This window comes from Homo sapiens, chromosome 20 (genome assembly GCF_000001405.40).
Source record: "Homo sapiens chromosome 20, GRCh38.p14 Primary Assembly".
Classification (NCBI taxonomy): Eukaryota; Metazoa; Chordata; class Mammalia; order Primates; family Hominidae; genus Homo; species Homo sapiens.
Window position 1 is genome coordinate 22,960,087 of NC_000020.11, and position 24,510 is coordinate 22,984,596.

At 42.2% G+C, this 24,510-nt stretch overlaps 1 long non-coding RNA gene and 1 pseudogene across 1 annotated transcript in view, besides 1 other annotated feature; one reads left to right on the forward strand and one right to left on the reverse strand.

Moving 5' to 3' along the window:
• The window catches only part of LOC107985449 (uncharacterized), a 57,505-nt gene extending 43,385 nt beyond the window's left edge, over positions 1-14,120 (forward strand). The window contains exons 2-3 of the long non-coding RNA XR_001754537.2: positions 6,579-6,782; positions 13,567-14,120. This is a non-coding gene — a long non-coding RNA (uncharacterized LOC107985449). The remainder of the gene's footprint in view (positions 1-6,578; positions 6,783-13,566) is intronic.
• On the reverse strand, positions 1,162-3,121 carry LOC100419956 (kinesin family member 15 pseudogene; annotated as a pseudogene).
• Positions 5,986-7,185: an enhancer, noted in NCBI's record as "MED14-independent group 3 enhancer chr20:22946709-22947908 (GRCh37/hg19 assembly coordinates)". NCBI's record gives its function as "activates an origin of replication core promoter dependent on BRD2, BRD4, P300/CBP and CDK7 cofactors, and independent of MED14, by STARR-seq in HCT116 cells {active_cell/tissue: HCT116}" and the evidence as "EXISTENCE:reporter gene assay evidence [ECO:0000049][PMID:35650434]".
• Positions 14,121-24,510: the final 10,390 nt, after the last annotated feature.

The following is a 24,510-nucleotide window of genomic DNA, read 5'->3' on the forward strand; positions in this document are numbered from 1 at the left end:
AAAGCTTGGAACCTCCTAGAGACTTTTAACTCTAACTTGTAGAATGGGAGAAAAAATCTCAAAGCAAGGTGAAGGTGATTTCCAGGAAGCTGCCTGGGATTCTCTGGATGCTTTCTTTGCTTTCCTTGTAAGGACACATTTTGGGACACTTTTCTGCCCTTGCCACATGCAGAATCGTCTGCTGTAGGTCTTGGCCCTCCTAACTTCCTGATCTGGTCTCTCTCTCTTAATTTCCCTGCAGACATTTCTCAGGACCTGCTTTCAGAGGCCCATTTGCCTGCAGTGCCTGAACCTCCCAATCCCCATGCCTTTGCCTCCCATGACATGCAAGGCAGCCCATTGCCTCAGTCTGAAGGTCAGTTGCCTTCAGCATTTCTTCAGCAGCGGGACTTTTTCAAGTCTGTTTTAGGTCATTGCTTCCTTGCACTTCAGCCTGTCAGGGATTCCATCACTGTTGTCCTTCTGTCTTTTAATGCCACCTAGCTGACCTGGCAGGAGCTCATTCTTCTCCTTAAACCACTCCAGGTGTCTGCACGCCATTTCACACAACAATTGCTTCATTCTGAAGACTTCAGGGATATGGATTTCTCTCTTTGAGGTCTGACAGTGGGGTTACAATGAAACCTTAGACACTTTCATCTCTCTTGTTCCTGTGTTTCCAGGAGTTTTGCCACATGTGTTTTCCAGAAGGTGGTATCAGGACTCCTGGGATACTTACCAGGGAGATCATAACATGTTTGCCTTGCTTCACCATGAAGTTATTCTTCTCCTGATCCACGGCCTCTGTTATGGCCTGAAAACTTGTGTCCTCCCAAAATTCAGATGGTGAAAACCTACCCTCTAATATGATGGTATTAGGAGGTGGGGTCTTATGGAGGTGATTAGGACTAGATGAGGTCAGGGGGCTAGATCCCTCATGAACAGGATTAGTGTCCTGATGAAAATCTCAAGCTGTTTCTCTCTACCATGTGAGGACATAGCTAGAACAGCTGTCTGTGAACCAGAAAGCAGCCCTCGCCACATCACACACTGAATCTGCCTGTGCCTTGGTCTTGGACTTCCCAGCCTCCAGAATTGTGTTCAGAACTGTGAGAGATTTATGTTTGTAAGCCACTTGGTTTATAGAATCCTGTTACAGAAGCCTGCATAGACTGAGACATCTGTCTTCTAGTATAGCATGTGCTGCAGTTCCTGGAGCTGTACTGGGTGCCTCCCTTTTCCCTGGCAGGCTGGCAGAGTCCAAGTGTCTTCCAGAGCCTCCGGGAAGCATGTTCAGATACTCATGGCATGAGCCAGGTCTTCACAGAGCTCTGTGTCCTCAGAGTTCTCTCAAAGGTTCCTTTCACTTCTAGAATCTCAACATTCTATCTGCTGGAGCTCGATCGTGCTGTCAGCCAGAGCTCAGGTGCATGTTTGAGACTCACATCCTCCAGGTCTTGCTTCAGTGTCCATTTCTATTTACTCATGGACTGATGATCTTGATTGGCTCCATGAGGTCAGCTACAATCACACTGTTAGCATTTCTAGACTTCTCCAGAGACCTAGTGACTTTTTCCATGGAAAAGAGACTTTCTTCTTGTGTTTGTACGCTTGCCATCCACTGTTCACACTTGTTTCTTCCCATTTCTCTTGCTGTACATCCTAAAGAACACATAAGAATTCTTTAGAATGGGCTTCTTTATCTTCACACAGATTTATTATTGCATTTTTTTCTGCCTCCAAAGCTCATCCCATACATCAAATCATACAGATCAGACTTCAGAGTTTTATTCTTTGCAGTTTTGAAGGTTTTTGAAAGTCGGTCTATGTCGAATGCCATTCCTTCTTGTAAATAAGCACAAAACTCCCCTGAAGATCTTCCACCAAAAAACTTTTTTAAAGATGGGGTCCCTTCTGTCACCTAGGCTGGAGTGCATTACTGCAATCATAGCTCACTGCAGCCTCCAACTCCTGGGCTCAAGTGATCCTCCTACCTCAGCCTCCTGAATATCTGGGACTATAGGCATGCACCACCACACCCAGGTGACTTCTTTAAATTTCTTTCAGAGATGGCATCTTGCTACGTTGCCCAGGCTGGTCTCAAACTCCCGGCCCCAAGTGATCCTCCCACCTCGGCCTCTCAAAGTGCTGAAATTATAAGCATGAGCCCCTACACCCAGCCTCATTTCTGATTTTTCTAATATTTGACACTATTTAGTTGAAGCTGTATATGCACATGTCTTATAGAAAATGAGTTGGCTTCTTTCTCCCGACTCTGAATGAACTACACCCAGCTCCTTCAAAGTCAGCTTGCCTGCAGAGTTAAACTATAAAGGTTGTATACCTCTTTTCAGTCGTTCTGAGTTTGAGAACCTCTGAGCTGCATGCCAACTGTGAGGGATGCTGTTGCTGCTGTGTGGTCCGGTCAGTTCTTCCTGATAAGGACAATGCCTGCATCTGTGTGAGGACATGTTCCAGTTTATCAATCTGTTGCTGATGCTTTGGCATCTATGATCCTCTTTGTTCAACCTCACCTGATGAGACAGGTGTTGTTGCCCCTTTTTGAGCCCCTCAGGAATGGTCTCCATAGAGTGCTCACTCATCTCAGGAATGACTTAACTTGATCTAATCATCTTATCATAAGTTGCCGCTCTGGAATTCTGAGCACAGAACCAAAGCTTTATATTTCAAGGTGTGGTCAGGGACTGCCAAGACTGGTGGGTTGTCAATGGGCTTATAGCCTTATAGTCTTATAGCTTATAGTCTTTCTGCACAAATTTTATTTAGCTTAGAAGTTTCTTAGTACTCACAGGCTTTTTGAGTTTAAAGTTACCTTTTGCAAAAACTTAAACCCCAACTTGAAGTCTAGTTATTTCTTCCTAATTCTTTGAGTTTTTTATGTGTTTGCTTTGACTCATTCAGCTCTGAATCAGCAGGTGGTGTGCTTTTAACTTCTCAGTGCTTGTCAGTAAGCCTAGAGTTTTTGGAGCTTTAAGGAAAATCCCTCTTGATGTTTGTCTTTTGTCTGTGCTAGATGTTTCATGAAAAGCTTTTTCTAGTTTTGCAACAATCTGGGCACCTATTTTTTCAGCTAATTTTATAAGCCTTAGGATGCAAGTCCTCCATCCTCCTCCCTGAGAGAATCCTGTTTGTGGAGGATTCATTCATAAACTCCATCTTAGACGCTGAGCCACCAGGTTGGCTTCTGATTAACCCCTATTCCAGGAAGCCTCTGAGATTTCCAGTTTATTTATTGTTTCTTGTATAAGAACAGGTCCTTACCATAAATCTTGCTCTTGGGTCAAACAACCCGTATGCTATTGTACTTCAATTGTCCTACACATCCCTTCTGAACCACATTTTTCCTGTGTTGGGGTGGCTGAGGAAAAAAAAAAAAAAAGCATGAATTAGGCCCTAAAAACTGCATGCTTTCTTAGCCCTGTTCCCTAACAGCCTCCACCCTAAATCCAGTAATCTAATGAAGAAACAAACTAGTATCAAACTAAATCAGTCTTTATAACTCTTTTTAAAATAAATGTACGTCTTTAAAGGAACTCTTCATTTGTAAAGGAATCTCCATCTCTGCACTTAAACCACGATCTAAAGACCTGGAATCAATAGAAGGGAATGTCTGGATTAAGATAAAGGGTTGTGGAGACCAAGGTTAATCATGCAGATGAAGCCTCCAGGTGGCAGGTTTCGAGCTCTTATCAGACAAAAAAGATGCCAGACTCTTAGTTAATTCTCTCCTGGACCAGGGAAGAGACCTGGAAAGGAATGGAGATTCTCTACAGAATGTAGATTTTCCCCACAAGAGATAGCTTTGCAGGGCCATTTCAAAACATGTCAAATATGATTTGGGATTTAAAAAAAACTTCAATTTCTTTCAGGGCTGGCTATCTGTCATGTGATAGTAGAGTCAGGCTGGAATTTGGTGTCTTACTGCGACAAAGAGTCTGCTTTGTCAGTCTTAAGATCTGTTTTATTTGGGAGACTGAAGCAAGAGGATCGCTTGAGCCCAGGAGTTTGAGACCAGCCTGAGCAACAGAGTGAGACCCCATCTCTATTAAGATAAAAAAAATCTGTAGTAATGTAAATGCTGGTCAGCTGTGCCTGAATTCCAAAAGGAGGAGGGTATAATGAGGCAGTCCAACCCCCTACTTCCCATTATGGCCTGAAATAGTTTTTCAAATTAACTTTGGAATGTCCTTGGCCCAGGTGAAGGGTCCATCAGTTGGTTAGAGGTCCTTGAATTTTATTTTTCACTTACATATATGATTAATATGATTAACATATATAACATATTAAAGTTAATGTTTCAGATAAACATGTTTATAGAACATGAAGATACAATTTCCAATTAAAGAAAAAGTCATTTTGTTTAGAGGCTATTTAAAAGTTGTTTCAAAACAAAGGAAAAAAGTGATGAAACTAAATGGATGGAAAGGAAGGATAAAATGGTGGGAAATGAGAAACCTTTGATTCTTGGGTGACCATGTGGTCACCATGGTATGGAGCTATAGCTGAATTCCATTCAGTTACTAAGGGTATAAGTTACCAGTGGAACTTAGAGATGGATCAAACTCCCAGGGAATTGACTCACTAGATTCATAAGGAGATGCAAACTAATAGTAAAATATAAAATACTCAATCTCCTGGTTATTATCTATAATAGCTAAAATGAAAATAAAAAGAATGTGCTGCGTTGGGCCTTGAGGATGGACCCAGCTCAGATGTAGGCCTGTGTGAGCTCAGGTCACTAACTTCAAAGCTCACCATATAGAAAATTATGCCAGAAACAAAACAGCCTCTGAGATCTACGGTTACTGAGAAGGTAGTCTATGTGGGGGTTGGGCAAAAACAAGTAACTATTGAAACCAGAGGGTATAGTGTGAAGGAGTGTTCCATTTTACAGATTGGTTTCATCAACTTGCTGAGGAACCTTTACTAAAATGGATTGTGAAAGTCTTTGATTTTTAAGTGCTGCAGAGTAGAAGAGCATGTTTGGGTTGATACAGGACCCACGGCTCACTATTGAACAAACACAGCTGGGTGTATATATATGATCCAGATACACAGGTATTCCCAAGAGAACAGCCAGCATGGTAGACCAGATAAAAGCCACTGGATAAAATTGTCTGCCTACCTTGAGAAGGGGAACTGTCCAGTTCATTCTATAAATGCCTAGTGGAGCACAACAGATGAAGAAGCTGATATGCTTCACATGCAAGGACTGGCTTTATGATAAGCTGAATATTCACCCACTGAATATGTCTATTACCTAGGTCATGGTAAATGCTCTAGTTAAAGGGGGCCCCTTCTGCATGAATGGCTCATTATTGCCCTTGTACTGCTGCTAAAGCTATACAATATCAGGTACCCTCCCTAAAGGTTCAGGGACCACTGTGGAAGAAGAGGACACATGATAATGTAAGAGCAAATAGGAGGTAGAGTGTGGAGGCCAAAGAACTGCATTTTGGATGCTGATCTGTTGTGTTGGCTTTTGATTAACCCTTGTTCCAGGAAGCCGCTAGGATTTCTAACTTACCTATCATTCTTTGTTTAAGAGCAATTATTTATTATAAATCCTGCCCTTGGATCAAACAACCTTAACATTATTATACTTCAGATGTCCTACACAACCCTTCTGAACCATTCATTCCTTATGGTATGTAAGCCTTGGGTCTGGGAGTGATGGCGTGAGGAATCCACCATCTTGTCTCACGGCAATGAGACACAGAGACAGACACACCTGAGACACAGACATGGCTTCTGTTCATCAGTCCCTTTTTTTTTTTTTTTTTTTTTGAGAAATTGGATTCGTGATCCTCTTCTTCGGCTTCTCAGATTCCTCAGATTTTTGGGCTGGTTTGTAGAACACTCTTAAATTCACCAGGTTAGCTAGGAAGATGTATATCTTAATAATTTCATTGCTCTCCACCATTGCCTCTGTTGTCATTGTAAAGATAGCAGAAAACATAGAGGATTCTTTATTCATTCTTTCAATGCCTCGTGTTCATCTCACCACTGCCAGGTGGGCTTCCAGACCACGGTTAACACTGGCCAAACCGCATGCACCACACAGTTTTCCTTCTAACACAGACCAGACAAGGCAGAATCCCACAGGTAGGTTTATAAAAAGGAACCTTGATAAGAAAACCCTAGCTCCAGCTTTCTCTTTCCATTGTAACGTAAGAAATACTCAAAACTTTGTGAAATTGCTCCTCATGTCATGAGAAAACGGAGATGCATCATCATAATGTGCTACTTGCACCAGTCTGTCCAGATGCAAGGATGATGTTGTTACTTATGCAAGATGCCACAGAGCTCCTGGGCACAGGTAAACACAGGTATCAGAGTAGTGACCAGAAGGGCCTCAAGGAAAGCACAGATGAGGCTATACATTACAGACTACAGATCAGCTATAGATTTTGTGTCTTCTTCACAAAGCTCAGACAGTTCCTCTCTCTTCCTAGTGTGCTGGGAGTTTGTATCACCAGTGAGTGTTGAATGTTATCAAATGCTTTCCTGGGTCCATTTTTCTCAGCCTGTTGATATGGTGGATTACATTAACTGATTCTTTTTCTTTTTATTTAAAGATGGACTCTCAGGATTCAGGGGATCATGGCAGACGGAAGGCAGGACTAGATTGCAGCTCTGGACAGAGCAGCATGCAGAAGCTTGCATTGCGAATTTTAACTTCAGGTTGACTGCAAGAACAAACCAGCAATCCCAGGAGGACCCACAGACCCTCTGAAGGAAGCAGACTTCTCCTGTAGGACCTGAGAGACACCCCAAATACTGTGAGTGCCCCAACAGCAGAAGTGGGAAAGGGACACCTCCTCTCCTGAACACACACCCCCAGTGGAGAAGCTGAAGGTCTTTTTGCAGGAGAAGTTTCCAATGTTACCTGGATCTGAGTCACGTTAGAGAGGCAAGCAAACTAGAGAGGTATAGTAAGGAGCAGAAAGGCCCTGGGAGCTCACTGGGTCCCCAAGCAGCATATTCCTGCCTGGCACCACAGGGATCCATTGGGAGGGTGGCCAGAGGAGCAGGGGGTAAAACTCCACAAGGAGAAGGAATTTTCTAGCCGAACTTTGTAACAATTTGAATGGTGTGAGAAGCCTCCTGGCTAGAACTCAGGGGAGGGCAAGATCGGGCATGCAGACTTCACAGGCCAGGGAAGAACTAAAGCCCTTTTCTCTAGCAGATGGGAGGCAGATAGCCTCAGGAAAGTTTTCAAGCCTATCTTGCCCTCTGCCTGGAAACAGACTTGGGGCTGTTGGGCAGTGCACAGTGGGAGTCAGATCAGCCCTTCAGTTTGTATGGGAGCTAGGTAAGGCTTGTGACTTCGGGCTTTCCCCCACTTCCCTGCCAACCTGCAAGACTTGACAGAGGCAGCCATAATCCTCCTAGGTACACAACTCCAGTGACCTGGGAATCTCACCCGAATTCCCAACAGCAGCTGCAGCAAGACTTGCCTAAGGAGAATCTGAGCTCAGACATCCCTAGCCCTGCCCCTGCCTGATGGTCCTTCCCTATCCACCCTGGTAGTGGAAGACAAAGGGCATATAATCTTGGGAGTTCTAGGGCCTCACACACCACCAGTCCCTCTTCACCCTACTACAGCTGATGCTTTCTGGAAAGCACCACCTCCTGACAGGAGGCCAACCAGAACAAAAATAGAGCATTAAACCACCAAAGCTAAGGACCCTCACAGAGTCCATTGCACCCTCCACCACCTCCACCAGAACAGGCACTGGTATCCTCGGCTGAGAGACTCATAGACAGTTCATATCACAGGACTCTGTGCAGACAAGCCCCTGTACTAGCCCGGAGCTGGGTAGACTCTCTGGGTGGCCAGACCCAGAAGATAGATAACAATCACTGCAGTTCAGCTCACAGGAAGCCACATCCATAGGAAAAGGGGGAGAGTACTATATCAAGGGAACAACTGTGGGACAAAAGAATCTGAACAACAGCCTTTAGCCCTAGACCTTCCCTCTGACAGAGCCTACCCAAATGAGAAGGAACCAGAAAACCAACCCGGGTAATATGACAAAACAAGGCTCTTGAACACCACCAAAAAAATCACACTAGTTCACCAGCAATGGATCCAAACCAGGAAGAAATCCCTGATTTACCCGAAACAGATTTCAGGAGGTTAGTTATTAAGCTAATCAGGGAGGCACCAGAGAAAGGTGAAGCCCAATGCAAGGAAAAAAAAAAAGAAAGAAAAAGAAAAGAAACAAGAAGTGAAAGGAGAAATACTCATGGAAATAGATAGCTTAAAAAAAAGACAATCAAAAATTAAGGAAACATTGGACACACTTTTAGAAATGGTCTGGAAAGCCTCAGGGATAGAATTGAATAAGTAGAAGAAAGAAATTCAGAACTCGAACACAAGATCTTCAAATTAACCCAATCCAACAAAGACAATGAAAAAAGAATAAGAATATATGAGCAAAGCCTCCAAGAAGTCTGGGATTATGTTAAACAACCAAACCTAAGAAAAATCGGTGTACCAGAGGAAGAAGAGAATTCTAAAAGTCTGGAAAACATATTTGGGGGAATAATCAAGGAAAACTTCCCTGGCCTTGCAAGAGACCTAGACATCCAAATACAAGAAGCAGAAAAAACACCTGGGAAATTCATCACAAAAAGATTATTGCCTAGGCACATTGTCATCAAGTTATCCAAAGTTAAGATGGAGGAAAGAATCTTAAGAGCTGTGAGACAGAAGCACCAGGTAACCTATAAAGGGAAACCTATCAGATTCACAGCAGATTTCTCAGCAGAAACCCTACAAGCTAGAAGGGATTGGGGACCTCTCTTCAGCCTCCTCAAACAAAAGAATTATCAGCCAAGAAGTTTGTATCCAGCAAAACTAACCATCATATATGAAGGAAAGACATAGTCACTTTAAGACAAACAAATGCTGACAGAATTCACCATTACCAAACCACCACTACAAGACCTGCTAAAAGGAGCTCTACATCATGAAACAAATCCTGGAAACACATCAAAACAGAACCTCTTTAAAGCATAAATCACATAGGACCTATAAAACAAAAATACAAGTTAAAAAGCAAAATCAAAAAAACAAAAGTACACAGGCAACAAAAAGCATGATGAAAGCAATGGTAACACACGTTTCAATACTAACAATGAATGTAAATGGCCTAAATGCTCCACTTAAAAGACACAGAACTGCAGAATGGATAATAACTCACCAACCAATTATCTGCTCCCTCAGGAGACACACTTAACACATAAGGACTCACATAAACTTAAAGTAAAGGGGTGGAAAAAGGCATTTCATGCAAATGCACACCAAAAGCAAGCAGGAGTAGCTATTCTTATATCAGACAAAACAAACTTTAAAGCAACAATGGTAAAAAGAGGCAAAGAGAGACAGTATATAATGGTAAAAAGCCTTGTACAACAGGAAAATACTACAATCTCAAATACATATGCACCTAACACTGGAGCTTCCAAATTTATGAAACAATTAGTAATAGACCTAAGAAATAAGACAGACAGCAACACAATAACAGTGGGGGACTTCAATACTACACTGACAGCAGTAGACAGGACATCAAGACAGAAAGTCAGCAAAGAAACAATGGATTTATACTACATCTAGGAACAAATGGACTTAACAGCTACATACAGAACATTCCATCCAACAACTGCATTCTGTTCAACAGCATATGGAGATTTCTCCAAGATAGACCATATGATAGGCCATAAAACAAGCCTCAATAAATTTAAGAAAATTGAAATTATATCAAGCGCTCCTCAGACCACAGTGGAATAAAACTGGAAATCAACTGCAAGAGGAACCCTCAAAACCATGCAAATACATGGAAATTAAATAACCTGTTCCTGAATGAGCACTGACCCAAAAAATAAGTCAAGATGGAAATTAAAAAATTCTTCAAACTAAATGACAAAAATGACACAACCTATCAAAACCTCTGTGATACAGCAAAAGTGGTGCTAAGAGGAAAGTTTATAGCCCTAAACACCTGCATCAAAAAGTCTGAAAGAACACAAACAATCTAAGGTAACACCTTAAGGAACTAGAGAAACAAGAATGAAACAAATTTAAACCCAGCAGAATAAAGGAAATTACCAAGATCAGAGCAGAACTAAATGAAATGGAAACAAACAAAAGGAAATACAAAAGATAAATGAAACAAAAAGCTGGTTCTTTGAAAAGGTAAATAAAATTGATAGACCGTTAGCAAGATTAACCAAGTACAGAAGAGAGAAAATCCAAATAACCTCACTAAGAAATGAAATAGGAGATATTACAACTGACACCACTGAAATACAAAAGATCATTCAAGACCACTATTAACAACTTTGTGTACATAAACTAGAAAACCTACAAGAGATGGATAAATCCCTGGAAAAAATACAACCCTCTTAGCTTAAATCAGGAAGAATTAGATACCCTGAACTGACCAATAACAAGCAGCAAGATTGAAATGGTAATTTAAAAATTACCAACACAAAAAAGTCCAGGACCGACTCACAGCAGAATTCTACCAGACATTCAAAGAAGAATGGGTACAAATCATTCTGACACTACACAAGATAGAGAAAGAAGGAACCCTCCCTAATTCATTTGATGAAACCACCATCACCCTAATACCAAAACCAGGAAAAAATATAACCAAAAAAGAAAACTACAGACTGATATCTCTGATGAATATAGATGCTAAAATCCTTAACAAAATACTAGTTAACTGAATCCAACAACATATCAAAATGATAATCCATCATCATCAAGTGGGTTTCATACCAGAGATGCAGGATGGTTTCACATAAACGACTCAATAAATGTGATAGACCACATAAACAGAATTAAAAGAAAAAATTACATGATCATCTCAATAGATGCAGAAAAGTCATTCAACAAAATCCAGCCTCCCTTTATGATTAAACTCTCAGCAAAATCAACATACAAGGGACATACTTCAATATAATAAAAGCCATCTATGGCAAACCCACAGCCAACATAATACTGAGTGGGGAAAAGTTGAAAGTATTCCCTCTGAGAACTAAAACCAGAGAAGGATACCCACTCTCACCACTCCTCTTCAACATAGTACTGGAGTCTTAGTCAGAGCAATCAGACAAAAGAAAGAAATAAAGGGCATCCAAATCAGTAAAGAGGAAGTCAAACTGTCACTGTTTGCTGACGATATGATCATTTGTCTTGAAAACCATAAAGACTCCTCCAGAAAGCTCCTAGCACTGATAAAAGAATTCAGCAATGTTTCCAGATACAAGATTAATGTACACAAATCAGTAGCTCTTCTATTCACCAACAGCGACCAAGCAGAGAACTGAATCAAGAACTCAACCCCTTTTACAATAGCTGCAAAAAAAAATAATAAAATACTTAGGAACATACCTAGCAAAGGAGTCAAAAGACCTCTACAAGGAAAACTACAAAACAATGCTGAAAGAAATCTTAAATGACACAAACGAATGGAAACACATCCCATGCTCATGGATGGTTAGAATCAATATTATGAAAATGCATATTGCCAAAAGCAATCTACAAATTCAACGTAATCCCCATCAGAATACCACCATCACTCTTCACAGAATTAGAAAAAAATAATTCTAAATTTCATATGGAACCAAAAAGGAGCCTGCACAGTCAAAGCAAGACTAAGTGAAAAGAACAAATCTAGAGGTACCACACTACCTGATTTCAAAACTATGCTATAAGGCCATAGTCACCAAAACAGCATGGTACTGGTATAAAAATAGGCACATAGACCAATGAAACAGAACAGAGAACCTAGAAATAAACCCAAATACTTACAGCCAATTGATCTTCAGCAAAGCAAACAAAAACACAAAGTGGGGAAAAGGCACTCTTTTCCACAAGTGGTGCTGGGATAATTGGCTAGCCACATGTAGGAGAATGAAACTGGATCCACATCTCTCACCTTATACAAAACTCAACTCAAGATGGATTAAAGACTTAAACCTAAGACCTGAAACTATAAAAATTCTGGAAGACAACATTGGAAAATCCCTTCTAGACACTGGCTTAGGCAAGGATTTCATGACCAAGAACCCAAAAGCAAATGCAATAAAAACAAAGGTAAATAGCTGGAACCTAATTAAACTAAAGAGCTTTTGCACAGCAAAAGGAACAGTCAGCAGAGTAAACAGACAACCAAGAGAGTGGGAAAAAATCTTCACAATCTATACATCTGATAAAGAACTAATATCCAGAAACTGTAACAAACTCAAATAAATCAGTAAGAAAAAAACAAACAATCCCATCAAAAAGTGAGCTAAGGACATGATAGAAAATCTCAAAAGAAGATATACAAATGGCCAAAAAACATGAAAAAATGCTCAGCATCACTAATGATTGGGAAATGCAAACCCAAAGCACAATTACCCCCTTACTCCTGCAAGAATGGCTATAATAAAAACGTCAAAAAACAGTAGATATTGGCGTGGATGCAGTGAACAGAGAACCCTTCTATACTGCTGGTGGGAATGTAAACTAGTACAGCCACTATGGAAAACAGTGTGGAGATTCCGTAAAGAACTAAAAGTAGAACTACCATTTGATCCAGCAATCCCACTACTGAGTATCTACCCAGAGGAAGAGAAGTCATTATTTCAAAAAGATACTTGCACACTCATGTTTATCACAGCACAATTTGCAACTGCAAAATCATGGAACCAACCCAAATACCCATTAATCAATCAGTGGATAAAGAAACTGTAGTATATATATAAAATGCAATACTATGCAGCCATAAAAGGGAGTGAATTAACAGCATTTGCAGTGACCTGGATGAGATTGGAGACTATTATTCCAAGTGACGTAACTCAGAAATGGAAAACCAAACATTGTATGTTCTCACTGATATGTGGGAGCTAAGGTACGAGTATGCAGAGACATAAGAAAGATACAATGGACTTTAGGGACTTGGGGGGTAGTGTGGAATGGGGGTGAGGGATGAAAGACTACAAATATGGTGCAGTGTATACTGCTTGGGTGATAGGTGTACCAAAATCTCACAAATCACCACTAAAAAACTTACTCATGTAACCAAATACGACCTGTACGCCAATAACTTATGGAAAAATTTTTTTAAAAGGTGGAGTCTCACTCTGTTGCCCAGGCTGGAGGGCTATGGCACAATCTTGGCTCACTGTAGCCTCCATTTCCTGCATTTAAGTGGTTCTCCTGCCTCAGCCTCTGAAGTAGCCACCATGCCCAGCTAATTTTTGTATTTTTAGTAGAGACGGGGTTTTGCCATGTTGATCAGGCTGGCCTTGGACTCCTAACCTCAAGTGAACTGGCTGTATCAGCCTCCCAAAGTGCTGAGATTACAGGCGTGAGCCACCATACCCAGTTGATTTTAAAACGTTAAAAACAACCTTACATAACTAGAGTAAATACCACTTGATCATGGGATACTATTCTTTGTGCATTGTTGGGTTGCATTTGTTAATGTTGTGAGAATTTTTATATCTGTAGACTAACATCTCTCAAGAACTTAGTGTTTTTTTGTGTTTGTGCTCTCTTTCTAGCTTTGATCTCCAGGTAATACTGGCTTCCTCAAATCCATTGAGAAGTGTGACCGGCCTGAAACAGTTCCTATAAACTTGATAAATTAATGAGGGAAGAAGAGAAGGGAGAAACAAAATATGCCCAGCTTGCAGCCCACTCGGCGTTCATCATGAGGTCAGCTGCTCTCTGACGCTTCTTCTGAGCTGCATAGTGCCTGTTGTGCTGTAGTCGTGTAGACCCTGTAGTTTCCCTTAACTGCTCTATAGATAGAGTTTCATGATGTTCAAGTTACGTTTTCCTTTTGGGAGACTGCTTCAGGTCCTGTATACTGATGCAGCTACTGACTCAGCTGGTCTTAAGGACCCCATGAGGAGCTGACTCAAAAGAACAGTTTCTACATCCTGATGATTTCATCCCCCATACCCCATCCAATCAACAACCCTAATTTTCCAACCCCTCACCCTCCACAGTCCTCTTAAAAACCCCAGCTCAGAACTCCTCAGGGAGATGCATTTGAGGGTCTCCTCCCATCTCCTCACTTGATGCACTATGATCATTAAACTTTCTCTGCAAACCCTGCTGTCTCAGTGTAATTGGTCTACTGCACAGCAGTATATGAACCTGTTGGTCCTATAACATGCTTTTTTCTTTTTTGGAAGTGATATATGAAACTGGTGTTACCTTGACTTTGAATGTTTGGTAAAACCCTCCAGTGAAACGGTCCCTTGTAATTAGCATAACAATGAATAAATGATATGCTGTCTCAAATCTTCAAGTAGGAGTTATAAGAATATCCTCTAAAAAGAATAGAATCTAGTCCAAATTCTTCAACCTACAGGTAATTGGAAGAACAGTGAACAGCCATTTGGAAGCAGGCTGCAGTGGAGGTAGTTGACTCACTGCTGCCCCCTCGTTGTAAGTCATCCAAAGGGCCACAAAAGAGGGTCAATTTTGGATAAGTCCAAAGAAAAGCCAATAAAAAGCTTCAATATAAAGGGCCCAGAAGAGGGTAGCAAAATTTTCAAAGATAATTCTGAAAAAAATTCCAGGTCACTGGTGCTGGCTCTTCAGGCTGGGGAAGGGAGTATCTGGGCATGCCTGGGAGCCCAGGTGCCTGAGTCCTCAGGAACATGCCTAGGGCTCTGTTCCTGCCTGGATAAAGAGCTTACAGGAATTCTGGGGATGGGCAGGAGGGCTAATCCAGGATCGTAGGCTGTGCTGCCTGTTGATCCATGGCCCAGTCATTATTATGGATCCATTCCTTGGAGCTGGAAGAGGCAGTGTCCCTCTGCCTGGGCTTCATAAAGGTACAGGCACAGGAATGCTGGTCCAGAGCCCCGTCTGACCTTAGTCAGAGCTGCTCTTCTTTACCTGTTTTGTTCAGGACTCCAAATAGTTAACTTGGAAAATCAAAGTTGGACCACTCAGAAAACAAGTTCTTCATCTCTCTAGAATCACCTGTTCCACTCACCCCATGAGCTGAAAGGAACAAAATTTGTGTCACTCTTTTCTTCTTGGAATTTACCTTTTGGTAGTTAATAAACTTTGTTATATGGTATTCACTATATATTTGTCATACTAAGTATCACATACATGTCAAGCCATGATGAACCAAACATTCCCAAGGGCAGCTAGGGGTGGAGCTTGGGACATCTTGTGATTGAATCCTCCTCCATAGCTTTGAGCTTCCACGTGGGCTTTTTTAAAAGCTGTGGGGGAGTGGAGGTGTTAGGTCTTCCCTTGCTTGCCTGTTGGCTTATCCATCTCTCATTTCCTTCAAGCACTGACACTGTCCCTTCTTCATCATTTCTTGGCACCTAACAAAGGACCCTTGCATGGAACTTTGGAAGAGCAGAGGATGATAGGTAAAATGGAAAGAGCTTAAATCTGAGCAGGCACCACTGTTTCCCCTGGGCACAGGCCATCCCCACCTCGCACATACATACTCACCTACGCTTACCCTAAGCCTTTGTCCAAATCCCTCTCACAAAGCATCTAGCTTGCCTCTCCTTCCTCTGTCTCAAGTCACCAGGAACTTGAATTCAGGCTTCCTGGGGCAGTAAGAAAACCTTCTCAATTTAATATGATCAACAGCTCCCCCATACTCCTGAGCAGCCAGGATGACTCCTTTGCAGAGCCAAAGATCCATTTCCCTAACAAAATGTCCTTCTCATCTTGGGGAGAATTCTGTTAGGAACAGGGATGGGATCTCCACCTTGAGGTCTGAGGACAGAAATTTGGTTAAGAAGAAATTACATCTTTATTTCCACTAGCCTGTAACTGAAATTTGGCATCTCCTTCTACCATGAATGGAGGCAACAAGCTAGAGTTTTATTATCAGGACTTATGACTTTATTTCCAGCAGAAATTGAAGATATTTTCATCTCATTTCAAACATGTAAATATATCTTCAAATAGCATTTATGTTCCCCACTACTTGGAAATTATAGAAGTTATCACACTTGCTGCTAGGACCTGTTAATAGCTAAAACCACATAGACATGACTATACTTACATAGTTTAGTGCTTTTTCTTTAAATCACACGTATTTGATTTTCAGCACTTATCAGCTTTCTTCTGAGAAAGGTTTCACAGGCTCCAGCAGACTGCCAAAGAGGTCCGTGGCACAAAAAAACCCATATTCCAGACACATCTTGTGACTGACTGCAGTCTATCTGTAGCACAACCTGTCTCCTCTTTAAGCACCTCACAATTCAGTCAGCTGTCGGTTACCAATTAAATGTATATCAAAGCTTTAGAGTGCAGAACCTATTCAAGGACTACAGGAACTGGGAGGAGAGTGAGCAGGTGGGTGGGGAGCTACTTGTACCAATACCCTATCCATATTGGTTTCGTCTGGGTTTTCCCATAGGCCAGAGTGCCCAAACCTGCCCTCACCTGACATGCTGACATGAGGATGGCCTTGTCACATGTACTGCCATCTATGACAGAATTTGGTCTTGGATATTCTGTTCCAGAACCCAGAGGTGGTGGTAGGCAGAGGAACAAAGTCGACTGAGCCTCTGGGGGAACAAGAGGAAACAAAGGAAATATTTAACAAATTAAGAGACAATCGGAAGTCAATGAGAGGAGGCAAACTATCAATGGTCAGATGAGCAGGGAGTCCCCAGCATGGGTGAGCCCACCCTCAGTGGGGAAGGGAACTTGCCTGTGGTGTTAGCTTCTATGATGGAAGTCCATGAAGAAGAAGTTCTACAAATGGGGAAATTGAGACAACACAAGCAAACTAAGAAACTTGGGACACATAGTAGAAATCTAGACGGTTCTTTTAATGGACAGACTATTCTTTAAAGGAGGTCCTAAAACTGTAGAGATCACAGTCCCCGCTAGGTTCACCACCCCACCTGGCAGGAAATGTTGTGAGAAGGGGTTTAAGTGTAAAGTAAACTTGTAACAAGAGTGGCTGGCGCCAGTCTAAGCAAGAGGTACCACAAGGAATTTGTGCACATCCAGGAATGTGGAGTTCCACAACTCTCAACTAGCTTGTGGGAAAGCATAGGGCTGCTTTTCTGTTGACTAAAGCTATGAAAGAACTGAAAAGTGTGGCTTGCCAGGAAAACACTTGCTGTCCCCAAGGACACTAGCGCTGAGGACATGAGAGGAAGCAACACCCTTGGATCTGCCATCACTTGTCTAAGAATGGCAATCATCCAGTAACAGATCAGCCTTGGCTTTCAGGCCAACAAATTTCAGGCACTTGTAATAAGCTGTGCAACCATCGCCACTATTTTCTTACCCAATTCCTTTTCAGCTCCAGCAGGTCCTGCCAGTCACCTTGTACGACTTACCCCACTGGCTTTTTACATTTCAGAATTAAGAAATATCATACAGCAAACAAAGGGTTGAGTTAAAAAAGCTTGTTTGCACATTGTTTTAGGAATTCAGAACACATTTCCCATAGAAACAATGCAGACAAGCCACAAAGGCAGATGGTTCCCTTCCTTCTGCCCCCACCCAAAAGTTTAGCCTGTGATGTTCTGAAAGCACAGTATTATTCCCCATTAAATTGTTCCTGAAATAATGCCTTTTGAGTCATAATTCAGAATGCCTAACTGAATTTTATGGTGGCTTTAAATGTGGCCCCAAAGTTCTTTGCACTCTATGTGCTCTCCCCTTGATCCTGGCTCTGATGACTTGACCAAAAGAATAAGGCAGAAAGGATGCTATGCCAGTTAATTTTGTGATTATAGAATTACTATGATACCAAAACCAGATAGTACTAAAAAACCCCAAAGACCACTATCCCTAAAAAATACGGATGCAATAATCCATACAAAATATTAGTAAATAGAATTCAGCAATACATAACTATATACCATGATCAAGTGAGATTTTTTTTCCCCAGGAGTTCAAGGCTGCTTTAATATGTAAAAATGAATATAATCCACCATGTTAACGGACTAAATAAAAATCACATGGTCATATCAAGGGGGAAGGGAAGCATTTGACAAAATTCAACACCCATTATGATGAAACTCTCAGAAAAATAGGAATAGAAGAAAACTCTTCCAACTTGATGAGCATCCACAAAAAGTCCAGGCTCCCTCCACGGTCTTCCTGGTAACATGGGAGTGAGGGACTTTCACAGGCTGGCAGGGATGGAAGTCTTGGCTCCCTACTCAGTCTTCTCTGACGGTGACCCATTCATTGTGGGGGCTGGACTCCTCATTAGCCTGGTAGTCTAGGCTCCCCATCTGGCCTTGGTGAGTGGAGATGGGGCTGCCGATTTTCTGTGGTGTTTAGATGGAGTAAAGCAGATGTTGCTAACAGGCTTTCTTTTTTAAATTTGTATAAACTTAAGAGATATAAGTATAATTTTGTTACATCAATATATTGTATAGTTGTGAAGTCTGGGCTTTTAGGGCACCCATCACCCAAATAATGTGTACTCTACCCATTAAGTAATTTTTCATCACCCACCTGTCTCCTATTCCCTACCCTCCCGAGTCTCCAATGTCCATCATTTCACAATTTGTCCTAGTTTATACACTATTTAGCTCCCACTTATAAATGAAAACGTGGTGTTTGATTTTCTGTTTCTGCGTTATTTCACTTAAGATAACGGCCTCCAGTTCCATCCATGTTACTTCAAAAGACATGACTTCATTTTTTTTGACTGAGTAGTATTCCATTGTGTATATGTATCACATTGTCTTTATCCAATCATCTGCTGATGAACACTTAAACTGATTCCATATTACTGTTATTGCGAATAGTGCCGTGATAACATATGAGTGCAGGTATCATTTTTATATAATGATTTCTTTTCCTCTGGGTAGATACACAGTAGTGGCGTTGCCACTCCAAAGGGTAATTCTATTTTTAGTTCTTTGCCATATCTCCACGCTGTTCTCCAAAGAGGTTATACAATTTACATTCTCACTGGCAGTGTGCCTGAAGGTTTTATGTCTTGCCAAGTCTTAGTTCTTTGGCCAGAGAGAGCAGGCTTTTGGGGGGCCTTTCTTGCCTGTGCCTGTTGGTATTTCTGGGTGGCTCACTTCTTTAGCTCTGACTCTGGAATATGAATCAAAAAGAGATTCCTGGGACTTACCGCTAGGTCATCCGTTGGGTCCTGGGGTCCCTGGCCCATCTGCCTCTTTCTCTTCACCTTTCAGAGGCTTATGTTTGCTTTGCACACAATGTCCCAAATTTTAGTTACTTTTAGCAGGATGGATAGGGATGGATAGATAGATAGTCCATCTATTCTATCTTCCTGGAAGCAGACACCTGATATTTTTGGATATCTGGATTCTGCCTCTACTTTATTATTTGACTGGATGTGGAATTCTAGGCTGTACTTTAGAATTTGAAGGTTTTGCTGCACTAACTTCTTCCCTTCCAGCATTGCCTTCTGATTTTTTTTTTAATGGGATCTTCTCTCCTTTCTGCTCTCTCTGTGTCACCCTCAACCTTCAGGACGTTTTTTTTTTCTCTCTAGAACCCCAAAATGTCATGAAGGTGTCCTTGGTATGTATGTTTCTCCTGTCTTTTGGGGGGGTACTCTTACGGCTTCTTTAACTTGGAGACACATGCCTCAGGAGTATAGAATTGTTCCACTGCTTATTTGACAGGTTCCTTTCCTTTATGCTTTTCAGCCTTCCTGGAACTCTGAAGAGCCAGTTGCTGCATCTTCTGGAACAGAAGATGCCTCTAGGTTTCTTTTCTCTATTTTTCTGCTTCTTTTTTGTCTATTTTACTTCCCAAAAGAGTCCTTTAATCTTCTAATATTTCTCTACAATATTGATATGGTCATAATGTATATGTCCCTCACCCCAAATTCCTGTGTCGAAATTCTCACTTTTAAGATTATGATATTACAAGGCAAAGTCTTTGGAGGGTGATTTCATGAATGATATTAGGGCCCTTAATTTAAAAACCCAAGGGAGAGGCCAGGCACAGTGGCTCATGCCTGTAATCCAAGCAGTTTGGGAGGCTGAGGTGGGCGGATCAAGAAGTCAGGAGATCGAGACCATCCTGGTTAACACGGTGAAACCCTGTCTCTACTAAAAATACAAAAATTGGCCAGGCATGGTGGCATGCACTTGTAGTCCCAGCTACTCGGGAGGCTGAGGCAGGAGAATCATTTGAACTCAGGAGGCGGAGGTTGCAGTGAGCCGAGATTGCACCACTGCACTCCAGCCTGGGCAACAGAGGGAGACTCCGTCTACAAAAAACAACAAACAAACAAACAAACAAAAAAACCAAGGACACAGCAAGAAGATGCTGCCTGTGAACCAGACAGAGAGTCCTCACCAGGCACCAAATCTGCTGATGCCTTGATCTTGGATTTCCCAGCCTCCAGAGCTGTGAGAAACAAATTTCTGTTTTCTAAAAGCCACCCGGTTTCTGACATTTTGTTACAGCAGCTAGAACAAACTAAGCTTTTGGCTATCACATTTTTCATTTCTGGGTCTTCCTTCATCTTATCTGATTTTTTCCGTTTTGCACAGTATCACATGTTTAAAACGGAATAACTTGCCTTGGGTCATCTTTTTTCCTGTTTGCTACCTTGTTTTCTCTGGGCTCCTTTTAAAAACATTCTCTTTACTATATTGTGTGCCTCCTCCAGTTTCCTTGTGTTTGTTTGTTTGGGGTTTGTGTGGTTACCTCTTTTTGGTCTACCTTTCGTGTTGAAGGATTTCATCTACCTGGTCATCCTCAGCCATCTGTTAACAGTGGATGGGGAGGTACAGGGAAGCTGGCTGGAGAGTGAGCTGTGTATCTTGTACCTGTGCTTCTAGATTCCATCCTCTTCTGCTCTGCTCTGCCCTGGAGGCTGATCTGCATGGCAGCATCACCGGAGCTTCTTTGCACTCTGGACTCCAGTGGATTCAGCCAATGAGGGGCACTGGCAGGAGGTCAGACACAGAGAGGAGAGAATGTCTAAGAAGTCTGTGTCCCGGAACCCTCCCCACTGAGCTGTGATTTGGCAGTGGTTGCATTCTTCTTCTGAAGGTGACAGTCCCTGTGGTTGTCCCTCTCTGATAGCCTCAGCCTTTCTTGGGTTCTGGGAAATAATCACAGCTCCACTCTGCTGCTCACCCCAGGGGCTTCACGGTCCCTTGTGGTTTCTCTCACCATACCTTTCCTCTACAAATCGCCTCCTCATTAAACTCTTTTCTGCCTGCTTCTGAGTCTGTGATCTGTATTTCTTGCCAAGCCCTGATCACACCAGAAACTTCATGTGCTTGCCTGTCAGCTGGTGGACTTCATGGCAACATGGCTGGCCTCTTCGCTGGCACACACCAGAGTATACATGTGTTGGTCTGCTGGGGCTGCCAGAGTAAAGTCCCGCAGACTGGGCAGCTTAAACGACAAAAACTTATTTTCTCACAGTTCTGGGAGGTGGAAGTCTGAGATCCAGATGCCAGCAGGGTGAGTTTCTTCTGAGGCCTCCCTCCTTGGCTCACAGATGACTGCCCTCTCCCTGTGTCTTCATGCGATGGTTCTTCGGTGTACATCTGGTGTCTCTGTGTCCAAATTTCCTCCTCTCATAAGGACACCAGTCATGTTGGGTTTCAAAACTTTTTCTCATGGCCTTATTTTAACTTAATCACCGCTTTAAAGGCCCCATCTCTGAATATGCCAATTCTGAGGTACTGGGAGTTAGGATTTCAACACAGGAATTTTAGAAGACACAGCTCAGCCCATAACAGTTTTTATCTGGAGCTGTTTCTCTGGATAAGTTAAGTACGATGGGGTCTGTCTCTTCAAAATAATCCTCTAATCCATGGTTTGATAAGTGCACACTGGGCTGCAGGTCTTTGGGAACAGGTCAGAGGAAAGGGCCAGAAAAATGGCCCCACTGTTCATGATGAAAAATTTCAAAGAATCCCCCTATAGTTGGCCCTCGGGCTGGTCTGCACCCTCTTCTGTGTGTACAGAATCCTAAAATAGCTTGGTTCAATGTCTCCAGAGAATAAACTGACCTCCTGCCTTTGGGGAGAGGGAAACCTGGGATCAGGGAGGCACCCACTGAATCCTCTATCAGACTGTCTTTCAGCACTGCCCTTGGGGTATCGTGCCTTGGCCCAAGGGCTATTGTGGGTTTCTGCAGGATGCACCAGCTGACTTCTTGCTGCTACTCTCCTCCATAGCCACTTAGTTTATGTTTTTTTCTGCCTTTCTGCCTAGGTATGTTACCACCAGTTCATCTACAAATTCTCATAGGGAGAGAATTTAGACTGGCAGATATTCAGCCTCAGAGAAGGCTATTTGTAGATATTAGCTGTTTCTCTTCTAAAGCATCTGTGTTAGTCCGTTCTCACACTGGTATAAAGAAATACCCAAGACTGGGTAATTTATAAAGAAAAGAGGTTTCATTGACTCACAGCTCTACATGGCTGGGGAGGCCTCAGGAAACTTGCAATCATGGCAGAAGGCACCTCTTCACAAGGCAGCAGGAGAGAGAATGAGTGCCAGCAGGGGAAATGCCAAATGCTTATACAACCATCAGATCTTGTGAGAACTCATTCAATATTGTGAGAACAGCATGGGGGAAACTTCCCCCGTGATTCAATTTCCTCCCACTAGATCCCTCCCATGACACTTGGGAATTATTGGAACTACAATTTAAGGAGAGATTTGGGTGGGGATATAGCCAAACCACATCAACATTATTCTAGGAATGGCTTCTTCTTTATGTTCTTTGTACTTATTATGTTTTGTTTATTTCTTTACCATCATCACAGTCATTTGGAGAGGAAGTGAAGACAAAGGTTTGGGGTCAGTCTGCCATGTTTCATCAGAGGCTCACATAGAATTTACTCTGCACAGTCCCACAGTCCCTTCTACCCACTAAAAAAATGACCTCAGCTTACTGGTATCCAAGCCTATATAACAAATTCTAACAGAGGGGCTGAATTTCAGATTCTTTTGGTATTGGGTATTTCTGTTCACATTTTTTAGCATAAGGCAAGTGCTTTTTGCCTTGGAGAATTTCATTATTTAATAATCAGCTTCCCTCAAAATTCTCTTTCTACTATAACCTGGAAAGAACTCAAGAACTTTAATTGTATACCACATTCTAAAAATCTTCCTTGCAAGCATAGATGTTGTATACCTTCTGCTCAGGACCACCCCTTTTTATTATTGTAAATTTAAATAACTTTTTTGTTTTAGAATAGCATTAGATTTATAGAAAAGTTCAAAGATAGTACAGAAAGTTCCTGGATGCCCCTCTTCAGTTTCTCTGATTGTTATCAACTCCATTACTGGGTACATTGTTGTTACAACTAGCAACAAATATCAGTACTTTACTATTAACTAAATCCATATGTTATTCAGATTTCAGTAGTTTTTCCCTCTTGTCCTTTCTCTGTTCCAGGATCCTACCCATGATACGAGATTACATCTCATCTTTGCGCCTCTTGTTTTGTTTGACACAGAGTCTTGCTCTGTTGCCCAGGCTGGAGTGCAATGTTGCAATCATGGCTCACTGAAGCCTCAAATTCCTAGCCTCAAGCAATCCCCCCACCTTGGCTTCCCAAGTAGCTGGGACTACAGGCATGTGCCACCACACCAGGCCCCTCAGGCTTCTTGAGGCTTTTTTGTTCTGTGACCATTTTTTAGACTTCCCTTGGTTTTGATGACCGTCATAGTCTTGAGGAGTCCTGGTAAGGCATTTTGTGGAATGTCCCTCCTTTTGGGTTTGTCTGACATATTTCTGATGGTTGGACTGGGGGTTTGGGAGAAGACCACAGAATTGAAGTATCGCACCCTCACAGCATATGAAAGGCACATAATCGGCATGACTTCTTGCCGGGGGGTGGTAAGTTTTATCAGCTTCAAAGCTACTTTCCCTTTTCCACATTCTGCTCTGTGGAAGTGCATAAGAGCCGCCCCCGCTCAAGGGGTGGGGAGTTAAGGCTATGTCTCTTTGAAGAGTCGTCCCCTTTTTTATTTTTGCAAGATGACAAATGATTGCAATGGCCGGAGCCTATCCATAGATGCGTAGATACTTCTCTCTATGTTTGTGAAAACACATCCTCAATTAAAGACAAAAGCCATCTTGTCCTCTGCTCCCCCCTACATCCTTCCTCCTCAGATAAAACAATTGTCTCCTCTTCTCAGAAACCAAGTCTCTGACCTCATGACAATAGGCTTTTTCTACAAGAAAGCAGGCCCATGTTAGGCAGTCTCTTGGGGGGTCGAAAGGGCCAAATGTGTACTTAGATGTGGATTTCACAGAGTGATTAGGTATGTGGATGTGTTTGTTTGCACTAAGCCACATGTTCTGGCATGAAGAGCTGAAGATGGCACATTACAGACCTGGCGCAGTGTGCAGAGGAGTGAAGGCACCCTGCTTTGGTCTCCTTTGTACCCTGGGCAGATCTGTTTTCAATTGTGTGGGACGTGGAGAGCATTTCTTGGCAATTCCCCCACCCCCAGGCTCTTCAGGGGACTAATGAAATAAGTGTGCAGAAAGTTCTGCATGCTCCTTG